We start from the raw sequence: 17377 nt of genomic DNA on the forward strand, positions 1-17377 counted from the left end.
ATTACAGGCGTGAGCCACTGTGCCTGGCTCAATATATATTATTGATCATTCTTTTTTTTTCTTTACTTATTAAACTGCATTGGTTCACTTTCACTAATAGTCTGGATTTGATTTTATACAGCCCTAGAGCCAATGGTAGTCCATTTCATACCTTTGTGTAAATCAGAGAAAGGTACTTCTTCATCAAGACATTGTACTCTCCTCTACAGAAAATTGTCATAATGTATTGTTTTTTGGTTTTTTTTTTTGAGACAGAGTCTTGCTCTGTCACCAGGCTGGAGTGCAGTGGTACGATCTCAACTCACTGCAACCTCTGCCTCCTGGGTTCAAGCGATTCTCCTGCCTCAGCCTCCCAAGTAGCTAGGACTACAGGCGTGCGTCACCACACCCGGCTAATTTTTCTATTTTTAGTAGAGATGGGGTTTCACCATGTTGGTTGGCCAGGATGGTCTCGATCTCTTGACCTCGTGATCTGCCCACCTCAGCCTCCCAAAGTGCTGGGATTACAGGTGTGAGCCACCTGGCCTGGCCCCTTGATTTTTTTTAAGAACAAGATACTTTGTGTGGGAGACTGCCACAGTTACTACTTGAGACCATCGCTACAACAGTTACTACTGTTACTACTTGAGACAGTTACTACTGTTACTACTTGAGACAGTTACTACTGTTACTACTTGAGACAGTTACTACTGTTACTACTTGAGACCGTCTTTATGAGACTGAAAGAAGGGATGAACGTGGAAATGAAAACTTAAGACAAAAGTAACTGTTTTAAAGGAAGGGTCCAGGGGAAGAAGAAGAGAGCTCCCTGCTTCTAGTGAGCAAAGGCAGCCTCGAGCTTCTTCAGCCCTTCATATTTATTGGGTATAAAGAGCAGGGAGGAGGAGGTAGATTGGTCAGCTGCTTAATTGATCACAGGTTCACATTATTGCTAACAGGATTCAGTTGTGCCTAATCACAAGAAACACTCGTGCCTGGGTTGTGACTGCCCTCAGCATTCCTACTGGGCGGCAGGCACAGTTTGTCAGTTTACCAACATCCTGCTTTCACGAGAACAGTTTGCTGTTTGCTCATATAGCCGCCAGTGGTGCACTGAGTTGACCACGACCCTCATTCTTTCAGCCTCCAACAACTTTACTGCCATCTTCTGGAAAATTGTTTTTATTTTTGTTATAAGTACCAAATCTGTGATGTATATAATGTGAGCAACACCTCCTTAAATGTGTCCTTGTGCAGTGCACAACCCACAACCTATACAACCATATGTCACAGAGGCTATGATGTGTATGATATTGTCTAGGGAAACTGATGTGCTTGAGTATAACTATGTCCAGAGAGATAGTAGGTTCTTGTCAGAAAATTAGGGTTTCATAACCACTTATAATTACTGTAGCTTTTTCCCAAATTACTTCCAACTTCACTTACAGAAAATGTCACTTATGGATTTTATCTTTGTCTAGATTCAGGATTCTAGGGGTGGTAGGAGGATGAGTAAGAGGAAGGGAGATGGAGATCCTGAATTTGAGAAATCTACAAAAATTAGAAGCTGAGAAGCTAAATCAACAAGCATGTAGACTTGCTGAAGGAAACAGGCCAATTAAGATCTTCACCCTGGATGACCCCTTGACTTTCTTCACTGGGGTTTCAGAGAAAGTATTTAGATGCCCGTTTCAAAGTCATTACTGGATAAAGACACATTTGCAATGAAAAAGAAAGATTTTATTTGCCTTTTCTTCTCACAGTTCAATAATTTTGCATATAAGACTTGGTTTTAAAAATACAAAATGATGATTCTCAAAGTAAATGAACCACCTCAAAAAGACAAAAACCTACCATCTTCCGAAAGAACTCTCACTTTCCTCGGCATTAAACACACTCAAACCAGTGGAATCAATGGGAAACTAACAATGTTTTTGCAGAGTGACATCCCATTAGTCACAAGGGGAATTTTGAAAAGCACACGTAAGCATAACATTAATTCATTTCCCAGCATTCTGTATTGTAGTAGCCTAGAGATTTAAAAGAAATTACCTCACTTGTCTTTAAAAACTACACTCTACCTTTGAACAATTAGCAGATTGGGCACCAACTGCTCCTGCCCCGTGCAGTTGAACACTTGCCTATAAGTGACCCGCACGCAGTTCAAACTCATGTTGTTCAGAGGTCAGCTGTATGATCAGGTCACTAATGAGTCTTCAGACCATGTTTTGGGGCTTACAAACAAAGATAGTTCATTCAAAAAATTTTTTAAATGGTGTAGTCAGGTGATCTTAATAGTCTCTCCATCCTTGCAGCACTGTCCAACAGAACTGTCTGCAATAAAGGAAATGTTCTATGTCACATTCTCCAACACAGTAGCCACTATTCCTGTGTGGCAGTTGAGCACCTGGATGTGGCTAGTGTGACTGAAGAAATGAATTATTATTATTATTATTATTATTATTATTATTATTATTATTATTTAGACAGAGTCTCACTCTGTTGCCCAGGCTGGAGTGCAGTGGTGTGATCTTGGCTCACTGCAGCCTACGCCTCCTGGGTTAAAGCGATTCTCCTGCCTCAGCCTCCTGAGTAGCTGGGATTACAGGCATCCACCACCACGCCTGGCTAATTTTTATATTTTTGATAGAGATGAGGTTTCACTCTGTTGGCCAGGCTGATCTCAAACTCCTGACCTCAGGTGATCCACCTGCCTTGGCCTCCCAAAGTGCTGGGATTACAGGTGTGAGCCACCATTCTCGGCCTGAAGTTTTAATTTGATTTAATTTTGAAAAGCACACATAAGTATAACATTAATCAGAATTATTTTTAATTTAATTTACATTAATTTTTTTATAGAGACAGATCTCACTATGTTGTTCAGGCTGGTCTCCAACTCCCGGCCTCAAGTGATCCTCCTGCCTCAGCTACTCAAAATGCTGGAATTACAGGCATAAGCCACCACACCTGGCCTTCCATTTAATTTTAAACAGCCACGGCTAGTGGCTACTGTGTTAGGTGCGCAGCTTGCATATGCTCTCGTATCTGCCAGGAATGCCTTCCTTCTGGCTTATCCATTTGTGAAACTCCTACAAATGAATGGATGGATGAAGGAATGAGTGAACTTGTTACTGTTAGACCCTGTATAGAGCTGACGTGGATCAACAAAGATAATTAATGCTGAAAACATAATGCACTTAATTTCACTGTTTCTTGTCATCAAATATCTTTGTACAATATTTATTTGGTTTACTTGAGTGCTTGTTTTTTAGTGATTTTGGATGCTGAACAAGGGAGAGTTGACTTTGGGTTGGAAAGAACTTACTGGTTTCTTTTCAAGCCACATTCCAGCCTTCACTGATCCTACTTTCAAGTTGAAAAGCTAAATTCATATCTGTTATTATGAAACCAATTTAATTACTGACTCAAGCAAGTAGAAAAAATGACATGTTATACTATGGAATAAGGCTTTTTATAAGCCAGCTCTTCTGAAAGCAGCAAAAGAAAAGCCAAAGTGATGGAAATTTACTTTGCACACAGACTGCACAAACGCCCTTTTAGAAATCAGCTTTGGTGTGCATGAAAGCCTGGCTGTAACAACAGCGCAGTGTGTGAGTTCATGAACCAGCCAGCCTGTGCTGCTTTGTAAGGAAACCTTTCACAGGGCCCCACTTTGCTCCAGGCACAAGCAGGGTCATGTGGGCTGCAATTAGAGCATGCCACAGGCCAGCTTTTTACTATTTTCCATCCATAAAAGCGGCTTGTATGTTTATTAGAGTATTTTTCCACTTTTCTTTCTTCCCTCTGCTCCACTCCCTTCTGTTTTAATCAGTGATCTCTGAATACAGACTACCTTAAATCTAGAGTATTCTACTGATTCTTAAAAGTGAGACGTGACTGGGCACGGTGGCTCACGCCTGTAATCCCAGCACTTTGGGAGGCCGAGGCGGATGGATCACAAGGTCAAGAGATTGAGACCATCCTGGCCAACATGGTGAAACCCTGTCTCTACTAAAAATAGAAAAATTAGCTGGGCATGGTAGTGCACGCCTGTAGTCCCATCTTCAGGAGGCCGAAGCAGGAGAATCTCTTGAACCTAGGAGGTGAAGTTTGCAGTGAGCTGAGATCACACCATTGCACTCCAGCCTGGGCGACAGAGCGAGACTCTGTCTCAAAAAAAAAAAAAGTGAGACGTTTGTGTGAAGAGAAATCTTACTTTTGAACCTGAACTAAAATATAAATAAATACTAAGGAGCTCCCCCTTAACAATAGTTAAGATTCCATTCATTGTGAACATTGTCAAACTAGCAGGCAATAAAACGCTAGGGTGGGCCAGGTGCGGTGGCTCACGCCTGTAATCCCAGCACTTTGGGAGGCCGGGGTGGGTGGATCACAAGGTCAGGAGATTGAGACCATCCTGGCTAACATGGTGAAACCCCATCTCTACTAAAAATACAAAAAATTAGCTGGGCGTGGTGGCGGGTTACCCTGTAGTCCCAGTTACTTGGGAGGCTGAGGCAGGAGAATGGTGTGAACCTGGGAGGCAGAGCTTGCAGTGAGCTGAAATCATGCCACTGCACTCCAGCCTGGGCAACAGAGTGAGACTCCGTTCCCCCCTCCCCCAAAAAAAAGAAAAGAAAAGAAAAAAAAAAAACCGCTAGGGTGTAGTACCCAAAAGAAAGTAGATGAGGTCAAGGACTCAAAAGAAGGTAGATGAGGTCAAGGACCCAAAAGAAGGTAGATGAGGTCAAGGACTCAAAAGCAGCTACAGTGGGAAAGGCTATGCCCACCCCCTCCTTTTGCAGGTGACAAGACACAGTCCTAGAGAAGGGACCTGCCCAAAGTCACGCAATAATTCAGTAGCCATATCAGAGGAAGAGTCAGAGTCCCTGACTGAGAAAGGTAAGCTTTCCTTGGCCTTGGTCCTCAGGTTTTCCCACTAAAAAAGCCCTGTGGTGAAGGAGGATGAACGTGTTTCCCTTCTTGGGTCAGGAGACCTCTTCCAAACTTAGTATTTCACTGATAACAGTGTTTTTAAAATCTGCCTATTTTGTTTTTGTTGTTGTTAGAAGTTTTATAATTTATTTATTATTTTTTAAATAATTTCAACTTTTATTTTAGATTCAGTGGGTACGTATGCAGGTTTGTGATGTGAGTATATTGCATCATGCTGAGGTTTGGGGTACAGCTGATCCTGTCACCCAGGTAGTGAGCACAGTACCCACTAGTTAGTTTTTAAATCCATGTCCCCCCCTCCCCATTTTCTTTCTTTCTTTCTTTCTTTTTTGAGATGGAGTCTCACTCTGTCGCCCAGGCTGGAGTGCAGTGGCCCAGTCTCGGCTGACTGCAACCTCTGCCTCCTGGATTCAAGCGATTCTTCTGCCTCAGCCTCCTGAGCAGCTGAAACTATAGGCATTCGCCACCATGCCTGGCTAATTTTTGTATTTTTTGGTAGAGACAGGTTTTCGTCATGTTGCCCAGGCTGGTCTCGAACTCCTGAGCTCAGGCAATCTGCCCGTCTTGGCCTCCCAAAGTGCTGAGATTACAGGTGTGACTCACCACACCCGGCCCTTCTTTTTATTATTAAAACATCTAAGACCAGAGAGAAAATGTATTCTACACATCCATGGGGGAATGCAAGAAATATAAGGCATGACCCCTGTCTCCAAAACCTTACAATGATAATATTAGTGATTATGATAATGATGACAGTAGCGATGTCATCCAAGAGGTGGGAGGCAATGCAGACTTGAGTCTTTCTAAAATGATTGTGAGGGTACCATAATCGGGAATAAGTGGAAACCACGGAGGTGCCATTACACTGAAATAAGCACTTCACACTCACAGAGAAGACCGCCTCTTGACAAACCATAGAGATACACTTACACTCCAGATCCCAGGTCGCTCCAGAGCCCACAGACTGCTTTCCTGACGGAGACCGGATTCTTAGGGCCTCATCCCCAGAACTGAAGTTCTCTGGGTCAGATCAGATTCCTTGCTTGACAGTAAACCTTTCTCCGAACCTCATCTTTGCTCCCAAAGTCTTTATCTCTCCTTAACAGAAGAAAATAAGGTTAGAAAGGCAGGCGAAGTTCTTGGGAGGCCGAGACGGGCAGATCATTTGAGGTCAGGAGTTCGAGAGCAGTCTAGCCAACGTGGTGAAACCCCATCTCTACTAAAAATACAACAATTAACCGGCCATGGTGGCACACGCCTGTAGTCCCAGCTACTCGGGAGGCTGAGATGGGAGAATTGCTTTAACCCAGGAGGCAGAGGTTGCAGTAAGCCATTGCACTCCAGCCTGGGTGACAGAGCGAGACTCTGTCTCAAAAAAAAAAAAAAAAAAAAAAAAAAAAAGGCAGGGGAGGTTCACGATATGGAGAGTTTGAATGCAGGTAAGTAGCTGCAAAATCATGGCAAAACTGATAGGAATAGAAACTGAAGTTTGCTTATACCCAAAAAACAGTAAACTCAACACAATTGTTAGAAATTCCTCTGAAATATCCTGTTTAAAAAAATTTTTTTAGAGGCAAGGTCTTGCTCTGTCACCCAGGCCGGAGTGGAGTGGTGTGATTATAGGTCACTGCAGCTTCATACTCCTGGGTTCAAGTGATCCCCCCTGCCTCAGCCTCCCTAGTAGCTGGTACCGCAGTTGCACACCACCAAACTTAGCTAATTTTTTTTTTTTTTGAGACAGTCTTGCTCTGTCGCCCAGGCTGGAGTGCAGTGGCATGATCTTGGCTTACTGCAGCCTCCACTTCCCAGGTTGAAGCAATTCTTTAGCCTCAGCCTCCCGAGTAGCTGGGATTACAGGCGTCCACTACCGCACCTGGCTAATTTTTTGGGTATTTTTAGTAGAGACGGGGTTTCATCATGTTGCCCAGGCTTGTCTCAAACTCCTGACCTCAAGTGATCCACCCGTCTCAGCCTCCCAAAGGTAGGATTATAGGCGTGAGCCACCACACCTGGCCTCAGCTAATTTTTTAATTTTTAATTTTGTTTATTTTTTTGTAGAGACAGGGTTTTCCTATGTTGTCCAGGCTGGTCTTGAATTCCTGAGCTCAAGCAATTCTCTTGCCTCGGCCTCCCAAAGCACTGGGATTATAGACATGAGCTACTATGCCCACCCAACTGAGAGACTTGTTTTTTACTGAATCATCATCTCTGCATGGAAAATTAAAAAGAAAATGGAAGACATAACAAGTATGTGGATAATTCTAAATGTTTACATAAGTCAACTAAACTATTGGGTTATTCTTTGTTGTAGACATTAAGAATTTTCAGTAGTAATAAGGCTGGGAGCATGACTGTGGCATTTTAAAACCAGATTTAAGTGGAAAGAATGATCCAAGACAAAAATCAAGATTAAACAAAGAAAGAAGAGGCAAAAGCAACCAACTGCTTTGCACTAACTGTATGACTGCGTTACTTTACCATTAGAAGGCCAGGAGCTTGGCTTTTTCATCCTTTAAGTCACGAATGGTGCTAAGTCATTATCTATCTTACCTAGTTCCTCTCTGACAAACAATATGCTATGAAATTAACAGTCGGACTTTAGTGAGTAGTCCTTTCTTTAAAAATAGACTTCCTTAGGGCCGGGCGCAGTGGCTCACGCCTGTAATCCCAGCACTTTGGGAGGCCGAGAGGGGCGGATCACGAGGTCAGGAGATGGAGACCATCCTGGCTAACACAGTGAAACCCCGTCTCTACTAAAAATACAAAAAAATTAGCCGGACGTGGTGGCGGGCGCCTGTAGTTTCAGCTACCCGGGAGGTTGAGGCAGGAGAATGGCGTGAACTCGGGAGGCGGAGCTTGCAGTGAGCCGAGATCGTGCCACTGCGCTCCACCCTGGGCGACAGAGTGAGACTCCGCCTCAAAAAAAAAAACAACAAAAAAAGGCTTCCTTAGATAAACTGCGCTTTAGTTTATATGCTGCCATTAGGGCCTGTGATAGTAGGGACACAACTTGAAATGCCCCATGGTTTCCTGTATGCTACATACTAATTCCGACTTGCTAAAGGCTGCGGTTTTTGTGGTGTGAGTGGACATAGGACTCTTTCATCAGGGTAATTTATAGTCCAATGTCCATTTGTTTTAGAACAGACTGAAATTGCTGGCAGGCTAAAGTTAATTTGTAATTTGCAAGTAAGAAATCTTGCAAGCCTGGTTTCAAAGTCTGATTTTGGGTTAAAGTGTGAGTACACTGTGTAGTCACAATTTAGGATCTAAAGATCCTGTCCAAAGGCCATGAGTATGATTTCCCTGGACTTGATTGGTGACAGTTAGAAAAACAGTGTTTTTCATATTAAAGAATATGGGTCTCGGCCAGGCGCGGTGGCTCATGCCTGTAATCCCAACACTTTGGGAGGCCGAGGCAGGCAGATCACGAGGTCAGGAGATTGAAACCATCCTGGCCAACATGGTAAAACCCCGTCTCTACTAAAAATACAAAAAATTAGCCGGGCATGGTGGCGGGCGCCTGTAATTCCAACTATTCGGGAGGCTAAGGCAGGAGAACGGCGTGAGGCCAGGAGGCGGAGCTTGCAGTGAGCCGAGATCACACCATCACATTCCAGCCTGGGTGACAAGAGTGAGACTCAGTCTCAAAAAAAAAAAAAAAAAAGAATATGGGTCTCACTTAGGTGACTCTTAAGGGAGAGAGTACAGTACATTTGAGGCAGAATATGTGAAATTGGGCCTACCTATTGTCTTTCTTACTTTTTTTTTTTTTTTGAGACAGTCTCATTCTTGTCACCCAGGCTGGAGTGCAATGGCATGATCTTAGCTCACTGCAACCTCCACCTCCCAGGTTCAAGCGATTCTCGTGCCTCAGCCTCCCGAGTAGTTGGGATTACAGGCACCTGCCACCACGCTCGGCTAATTTTTGCTTTTTAGTAAAGAAGGGGTTTCACCATGTTGGCCATGGCTGGTCTTGAACTCCTGACCTCAAGTGATCCACCCACCTCGGCCTCCCAAAGTGCTGGCATCCATCTCAAAAAAAAAAAAAGACCACCATTGTGTGGTGTTTTGTTATGGCAGCCCTAGAAAACTCATATACCAGGGACTAGGGAAAGCCTCCTAGAGAAAGGAATGGCCAGGCTAAGATGACTGTAGGAAAGCCCATTTTAGGACAAGAGAATAGCATGTGTGAAGGCCTAGAGGTGAGAGAGGTTATGGTACCTTGCAGTGACTTGAAACACGCTAAGTATGGCTGGAGCATAATAAATAAGAGAGGAGGCGAAGGGAGATACCATGGACAGTGAAACTTCAATGGGTAGCTGTCATTTTTGGCTGCCCAACATCTGAACACACTTTCCACTTTATGAGAATCCCTAAATAGGTGGGAGGAGGGTTAAAGTGAGCAGATACCCCATCTTTGAGCTCCTGGCAGCTACAACACGGTACACTGACCTACACACAGCCAACTTGTGTTCCTATCCAGGACTCTGACTTGGGAGGTAGGCAGATAAAGGGGAGGATGGTTAAAAATGGTTCACAGAGCCTGTGGGAGATCCCTGTGTCCAGTGGGGCAGAAAGTGCCCAAAAGAAGAGTGCAGCTGTGTGGCAACCAGTGTCCAATGGCAAGATGGCAGGTGTCAAGTGGAGATCCTGCCCACAACCTCTGACTAAGTGGGGTGACCAACTTGTCCTGAGGAAACTGGGAGGATTGGTCTCTGTCACATAAGCAGATGGTCCCTGTGTTAGGGTTTTGACTGTGCCTTACCTCCCTGAGCTTCTGTTGTTTTTCCAAGCCAGTTCCTTAGCCTTCTGGACAATTCTATGAGTTACTTGATATCTTTCCAAAAAGACTCCTTTTCTGCTTAATCAACAAGAATTGGCTTTTCTTGGCTGCAACAAAGAATCCTGAGTAGTTCCACAGGGGTCAGTCATCCTGTGAAGGGCCTTCTAAGCCACACTATGGAGTTTAGACTTGGTCCAAAAGTCAAGGTGTCGCGGGGAGTGGGGACCGTGTGGAGAATCCATTGAGTGAGAGCAAGCTGGAAGACAGAAGAGTAGAGAGAAAGCAGGGAGAAAAGGCTGTGGTAACAAGGCAGGTGAGAGAAGAGGCTGCCTGGACCCTCTAGGTTGTAGGGGGAAGGAGAGAGGTGCAATGATTGGAGAGAAATGCAGCAGGTCGGTTCAAATTATTGATGAATGTCAGACAGCCAAGAACCAAAAACACTGACCTCCCACTGACCTCAGGGAAACCATGACAGCATCAGCCTCACGTAGGAAACCAGCCTGCAGGGGCCCATCCTCCACCACCTTCGCTGAATAAATGTTCCCAGGCTGGTGCTCACTCATTCCTGGCTGCAACTGCATCACCAGCTGACCTGGGTGAAAAAGGAAGAGTAACAAGCCTCTTGCCAGAGCCACTGAGCCTCACTTGCAGGCCATAGCCAAATTCTGTTAGAAGTGTATGTCAGGTCTAAATCCACCTCCTCTCACACCTCTGTTGTCCTTGGTCACCACCCAGACTACAGGTCATTCTGGTCAGCAACATATCCTGGTCCAATCTCCCCTCAAGCCCACTGGAATTTCTGTTTTGTGATTAGCAGATGCCCCATATCTTCCACTTATTTTCCCAATATTCTCCTCACTTCTGCTTTCACAGAAAACTGGTAGTCTTTTGAGGATACTGTTTCCCTTGGAGCCCTATCAGGTGAAGGTTATTTATTCTTTCACAGCTCAGGGATGTCTGAGTCAGAAGGCAGGGTTGGTGGTTTCTCCTTGGTTTTTCCACCCTCTTGCAGATCTGCTGCTGTGAATCTTAGGCCACCTGGTATACCCTTTTCCAAATCTCTTCCAGCTTCCTGTTTGCTTTCCCTCAGTCTTTGCCGCCTGGCTCACAGCGACCTCTCCACTTATTCCAGTGGCTTCAAACCTTGGACTCCTTATCTCAAATGGCTTCCTCCAGACCACACCCTTCATCAAACCCTGAACCTTGTTACCAACTCAAAACTGTTCTACTTCCGGCCGGGCGCAGTGGCTCACGCCTGTAATCCCAGCACTTTGGGAGGCCGAGGCAGGCAGATCATGAGGTCAGGAGATTGAGACCATCCTGGCTAACATGGTGAAACCCCGTCTCTACTAAAAATGCAAAAAAAAATTAGCTGGGCGTGGTGGCGGGTGCCTGTAGTCCCAGCTACTTGGGAGGCTGAGGCAGGAGAATGGCATGAACCCGGGAGGCAGAGCTGGCAGTGAGCCGAGATCGAGCCACTGCACTCCAGCTGGGGTGACAGAGTGAGACTCCGTCTCAAAAACAAACAAACAAACAAACAAACAAACAAAAAACTGTTCCACTTCCATGATCACTAATTCAAAAAGCTGAAGTAACTCTACTGCAACTGTTCTAACTTCATCAGGACCTCTAATCTAACTCCTCCACTTTCTTCCTATTCATTAGCCCCACTCATTTCTTATATTTATATTAAATTAATATAAATAATACAATAAATTTAATATAAATTGTTATTTATATTAAATTTCATGTCTATGATGATAAGAGTCCTTTCTTGGCAACTGCCCAACAAATTTCAACCTTGGGTACATTTTCCCATCTGCCTTTTCCATGTCTGTACCTGATGAAGATCAGTGGAAAAAATGGGGTTACGAGAGTATCAGAAAAGGCTTCACTATAAACTCACAATTGTTGGTGTCAATTGAGCACCTAAACTTACCAAGCAATGTTAGTGTATTTCTCTAGTTAACATCTCTCCTCTTCTCTGCTTATTCTAGACCTTCTTCACCTTTTTTCAACCTTGGAACCTCTTCCATTCTCCTCCCTCTTAGCCGTCTCCCCTGTACCTTCGAACTCTTTCAACTGGATTATTTCCATGAGTATTAATTAAAACGTGCTCTAATTATCTTCTATCTTTTAAAACAAACCAACAGAAACTCTCCTTGGGCTCGTTTGCCATCTACCAGTGCCTTATCTCTTTCTTCTCATTCACAGTCAGCCTTCTTGAGTTTCAGTGTCCAGCTACTACTTCATCACCAATTACCCATGCAACTCTGTGAAGTCAGGCGTATACATCACTGTTTCATTGAAAGAGCTCTTGTTAAATGAACAGTGACCTTCATATGGCTAAAGAACATGAAATGTCTTTGGTTCAACTTACTTGACCTTTCCTGGGCATACAACACGGTCGTCACTCCCTCCTTTTTGACTTTTTTGTTTTCTAATTCAGAGTGCCAGAATTCAAATGACACATTTTCTTCCTTTAGCTTCCATTACCTTCACTTTCCTGGTTTTGCTCAAATATGTCTGACCATTAAACAGAATCATTAGGGGCTCCTCTTCTACAAAATCTTTTTTTTCTTTTTTTTTTGAGTCGGAGTCTCACTCTGTTGCCCAGGCTGGAGAGCAGTCACACAATATCAGCTCACTGCAACCTCCGCCTCCCGGGTTCACATGATTCTCCTGCCTCAGCCTCCCGAGTAGCTGGGACTACAGGCGCGCACCACCATGCCTGGCTAATTTTTTGTATTTTTAGTAGAGATGGGGTTTCACCATGTTAGCCAGGATGGTCTGATCTCCTGACCTCATGATCCGCCTGCCTCGGCCTCCCAAAGTGCTGGGATTACAGGTGTGAGCCACCGCGCCCGGCCTACAAAATCTTTAAATATTACTTTTTCATTACTCAATTTTAGACTCTCCTCTATATCCTCCTTCACTGTAAGCAATCTCACTCACTCCTACGCTTAAATCCATGTTTTAGGAGCTAGTGGATAACAAGTGTGTATCTCTAGACAGGATCTTTCTTTTTCTTTTTTCTTTTTTTTTTTTTTTAGACAGAGTCTCGCTCTGTTGCCCAGGCTAGAGTGCAGTGGCGCGATCTTGGCTCACTGCAACTTCCCAGGTTCCAGTGATTCTTCTGCCTCAACCTTCTGAGTAGCTGGGACTACAGGCATGTGCCACCATGCCTGGCTAATTTTTGTATTTTTAGTAGGCATGGGGTTTTACCTTGTGGGCCAAGCTGGTCTCAAACTCCTGACCTCATGATCCGCCCACCTCGGCCTCCCAAAGTGCTGGGATTACAGGTGTCAGCCACCGCACCTGGCCTCTTTTTCTTTTTAAGAGATAGAGTCTCACTCTGTTGTCCAGGCTGGAGTGCAGTGGCATGATCATGGCTCAACACAGCTTCCAAACTCCTGGGCTCAAGGGATCCTCCTGCCTCAGCCTCCTGAGTAGCTAAGACTACAGGTGTGGACCATCACACCTGGCTCATTTTTATTTATATGTAGAGACAGGGTCTTGCTATGCTGCCCAGGCTGGTCTTGGACTCCTGGCCTCAAGCAATCCTCCCACCTTGGCACCGAAGTGCAGGTACAGATGTGAGCCACCATACCAGGCCTGAGGATCTTTTCTCTGAGCTTTATTAATACAATTGTATATACTCAGCAGCTGCCTAGTCAACATCTCTATTTGCATATTTTACAGGCATCTGAAACTCAACATATTCAAAACTAAACTCATTTTCTCTCTCAAACTTGCATCTCCTCCAGTATTCTCCATGGTAATACATGGTGCTAGCATTCATCCCATTACTCATGCCAAACTTGGGATTCATGCTTGCTGCTTACTACCCATTCACCCCCAACTCTCTATATAATTAATTACAAGTCCTGACAATTCATTCGATTAACAATTATTGAGAGTCAACTAGTTCCAGGCACTTTTCTAAGTACTGGAGATACAGTCTAGAACAAAAAAGACAAAAACGCCCATTCTCTGTGGAGCTTGAATTTCAGTAATATAAGCTAGGTGACCCTAACATTTTGCCTGGCAATAATAGGTGTGTTCATTAAATGCTAGCTACATAATGATGTTTAAAATGAAGGTGAATGAGCACTCCCTGGGCAAGTAACTGTATCACACCCAAAGAGCAACCAAGTTGAGGCCGGGTGCGGTGGCTCACGCCTGTAACCTCAGCACTTTGGGAGGCAGAGGCGGGCAGATCACAAGAGGTCAGGAGTTCGAGACCAGCCTGGCCAACATGGTGAAACCCCATTTCTACTAAAAATACAAACAATAGCTGGGTGTGCTGGCTTATGCCTGTAGTCCCAGCTACTCAGGAGGCTGAGGCAGGAGAATCATTTGTACCCGGGAGGCAGAGGTTGCAGTGAGCTGAGATGGTGCCAGTGCACTCCAGCCTGGGTTACAGAGTGAGACTCTGTCTCAAAAAAAAAAAAAAAAAAGTAACCAAGTTGAAGTAACTTGAATTTGTTTCTAATTAAAAAGATTTTTTTGAGGAGACTGAAAATTTACAGTTTGGAGATCCAGAGATAATGGAAATTGTGTCTATAGAGGGACAGTAACTTGAAATAAGGCTCCCCGGTATTCACTAATTAATTCAACAAATATTTCTTGGAACAACTGCTATGAGCTGGGTATAGTATGGCTAGATACTATTCAGAATCATGTTAGATTTTACCCTACTTGCAAGCTAACAAGCTCATCTAACAGCTCCACAAATGATGGCAGAAAACACCTGAGTCAGAGAGAAAGGGCTTTATTTTTCACAGCACAGCCAGTAGCCTGGGCTTCATATTCCCTTCGGTTCCCCTTTCCCTTCCAAGTCCCATGGGGACAGTCCAGGTGGATGCTGCACATGTGATTGGTTTTACCGCCCAGGTACACCAAGTTTAGGAAAGCCCAGTCTTGAACAGTGAACTGCAAGCCAACATGCTCAGCCTTTGCCCCAGAAGGTGACACTCTCTTTATTAAACTGAACAGCAACAAACCTGTCTTTTGTTCCAGAAGCAGACAATTATCTTAATCTTCCAAAGCTGTTCCTTGAAAGGGTATATTAATCAGAATTCCCTACAGAAACAGATCCAATAGGATGCATATTGCAGAGAGAGATTTATTTGAAGGAATTGGCTCAATCAATTGGAGGCTGGTGTTAGATATGAGTTCTAAATTTCTCTTCGAAGAATCAATGTCAGTATGTTCAATTCTTTGTCTTCTACTTTTAAACTTAACTTCTGGCCAGATGCGGTGGCTCACACCTGTAATCCCAGGAGGCCGAGGCGGGAAGATCATGAAGTCAGGAGATGGAGGCCATCCTAACACGGTGAAATCCATCTCTACTAAAAATACAAAAAATAAGCCGGGTGTGGTGGCGGGCACCTGTAGTCCCAGCTACTCGGGAGGCTTAGGCAGGAGAATGGAGCAAACCCAGGAGGCAGAGCTTGCAGTGAGCCGAGATGCCGCCACTGCACTCCAGTCTAGGCTATAGAGCGAGACTCTGTCTCAATTAAAAAAAACAAAACAAAACAAAAAAAGCTTAACTTCCTCGTAAAGCAATCTTTTTCAACTACCTGCTCCACCCTGACTCATTCTGATTACCTGCTCTGCCCTGACTCATTCTCCACCCTGACTCATTCCGATTTCCTGCTCTGCCATAACTATTTTTCCCACCAAACCACTTACCCGGTCACTCTCTTTAAATTAGTCAATCAGAATTAGTTTAGCCTGTGCCGTCTAACCTTAGCCAACAGGGGAAGGACACAGCAGCAGGTGCCACAAGCGTCAGGAATAAAAACCCCTTCGCCTCCCTTGTCCAGGTGTGTGCTCACCATTGCTCCATCTGTGAGGGCGCACCCTTCTATAGAAGTAAATTGCCTTGCTGAGAAGGAAAAAAGAAAATTTTATAGTTGAGTGCTATTTCTTTTGCGGCACCAAAACTTTATTTATAATGCTGGCAAGCCTAAAATTTGTAGGTCAAGTTAGAGACCCAGGAAAGAGCTGAAGGCAGTCTGGGGGCAGGATTCCTTCTTCCTCAGAGGACCTTAGTCTTTTCTCTTATGACCTTCCCTTGACGGGATGAGGCCAACCCACCTTGTGGAGGACCAACTGCTTTACTCAAGTCTAATTTAACTGTTAATCACATCTTAAAAAATACCAGCTATCATAGTACTCCAGAACAAAGGCAGTCAGTGTCTCTGCTCACAAAACACGGGAAAGTGCAGGTGACCCATGGAGAATTGTCCCCCAACACTATGTTTTTTCTTTTTTTGGATGGAGTTTCGCTCTTGTCACCCAGGCTGGAGTGCAATACCACCATCTTGGCTCACTGCAACCTCTACCTCCTGGGTTCAAGAGATTCTCCTGCCTTAGCCTCCTGAGTAGCTGGGATTTATTACAGGCGCCTGCCACCTCGCCGGGCTAATTTTTGTATTTTTAGTAGAGACAGGGTTTCACCACGTTGGCCAGGCTGGTCTCCAACTCCTCACCTCAGGTGATCCGCCAGCCTCAGCCTCCCAAAGTGCTGGGATTATAGGCATGAGCCACTGCGCCCGGCCAACACTACTTATTTTATAAAAACTCATTAATTACTGGTGTCTTTAGACTCCCTCTGTCCCTCCCCTCCATCCCCAACATTTACTTTTAAAATTTAAGACAAAACTTAAACATTAAACAATTATGAATTTAATTCCCCCATTTATATTACATTGATTAAGCTTTACACTATGACCCAGGTTCTAGGTGGTTGGGACACAATGGTTCAATCCCTGTCTAGTAAATAAAACGGACACCTTAAGCGCTACAATCAAGGTGCGCACGGGGTGCTACAGAACAATACGCAGACAGGAGGAGGTGGGGGGAAAGGTGAGACTTCCCAGGCAGGTGTCATCCCAGAATAACTTTTACACAGGGTGACTAAGCGAGTTAGTGACTGCGCGGAAAACGGGCTTCCAAGGTTCACAAGGCTCGTGCTGCGGCTCCGGGAGTTATGTCACAGTAAGCTTACTATCATCCTTTGGGCATCTGCTTTACGGATGAGTTCATCAGGATTTAAAGGATCTTGGTTCCATATCCTTCCCCTTCCTCACAGAGGCCGCCAGCCCGGAGCCCCTCTAGGCCCTCCTCCCTCCTGCATCTACTGGCCGCGAGCCTTTCCCTCCCCGCCCCCTTCACACAGGCCGCCCCCAGCCTCCCAACCCCCCGGTTCCGTTCCACGGGAGGCCCCGGCCTCCCTGCCCTCTCCTCCACCGTTCTACCCGCATCGCCCGGCTTCCCGCAAGCCGCTGGCACCGTCCCCTCAACACCCTCCGCCCACCGCCACTCCCTTCCACTGAGGGGGACCGGGCTGCCTTCTCTCTGACCCGCCGTTCTCCGCCCCCACCCACTTCCCCAGGCCTCCCGCACCACCCCCTTCCCGCCGCGCTCTCTCCCGCCCCCGCGCTTCCGGCCCCGCCCGCCCCCGCGCGGAGGACTGTGGGAGCGGCTTCCTTGGATTCCGCGCTTGGCAACGGCTCGGCGTCGCGCTTTGGCCAACCGCTGCGTCGTCCCTGGGCCCGAATAACTGTCGCCCGCTTCCCTCAGCGTGAGGTAGGAGAAGGGCGCTGGGGCCTAGTGCCTCAGGGCCCCTGGCAGCCGTGCCCCTGC

The 17377-nt window shown here is 45.4% G+C and overlaps 1 protein-coding gene and 1 long non-coding RNA gene across 64 annotated transcripts in view, besides 1 other annotated feature; one reads left to right on the forward strand and one right to left on the reverse strand.

Moving 5' to 3' along the window:
• Positions 1 to 1697: 1697 nt before the first annotated feature.
• On the reverse strand, positions 1698 to 17093 carry LOC105370103 (uncharacterized). Of its 6 annotated transcripts, none has more exons than XR_941725.3 (6): positions 16740 to 17093; positions 15565 to 15614; positions 10167 to 10313; positions 9704 to 9977; positions 5866 to 6033; positions 1698 to 2313 (listed from the first exon to the last, which is right to left on the reverse strand). It is a non-coding gene; the product is annotated as an uncharacterized LOC105370103 (long non-coding RNA). The 6 variants fall into 6 exon arrangements; XR_941724.4 differs by having other exon boundaries at positions 10178 to 10313; positions 16525 to 17093; XR_941722.4 differs by having other exon boundaries at positions 1698 to 2309; positions 16525 to 17093.
• Positions 16921 to 17330: a silencer, noted in NCBI's record as "silent region_5154". NCBI's record gives its function as "represses an Ori minimal core promoter by ATAC-STARR-seq in GM12878 lymphoblastoid cells {active_cell/tissue: GM12878}" and the evidence as "EXISTENCE:reporter gene assay evidence [ECO:0000049][PMID:35858748]".
• The window catches only part of IFT88 (intraflagellar transport 88), a 124288-nt gene continuing 124131 nt past the window's right edge, over positions 17221 to 17377 (forward strand). For all 58 annotated transcript variants that reach the window (NR_134653.2, NR_148462.2, NR_148463.2 and 55 more), the window contains exon 1: positions 17221 to 17320. The gene's annotated coding sequence lies outside the window, so the exon portion shown is untranslated. The remainder of the gene's footprint in view (positions 17321 to 17377) is intronic.

This window comes from Homo sapiens, chromosome 13 (assembly GCF_000001405.40).
Source record: "Homo sapiens chromosome 13, GRCh38.p14 Primary Assembly".
Classification (NCBI taxonomy): domain Eukaryota; kingdom Metazoa; phylum Chordata; class Mammalia; order Primates; family Hominidae; genus Homo; species Homo sapiens.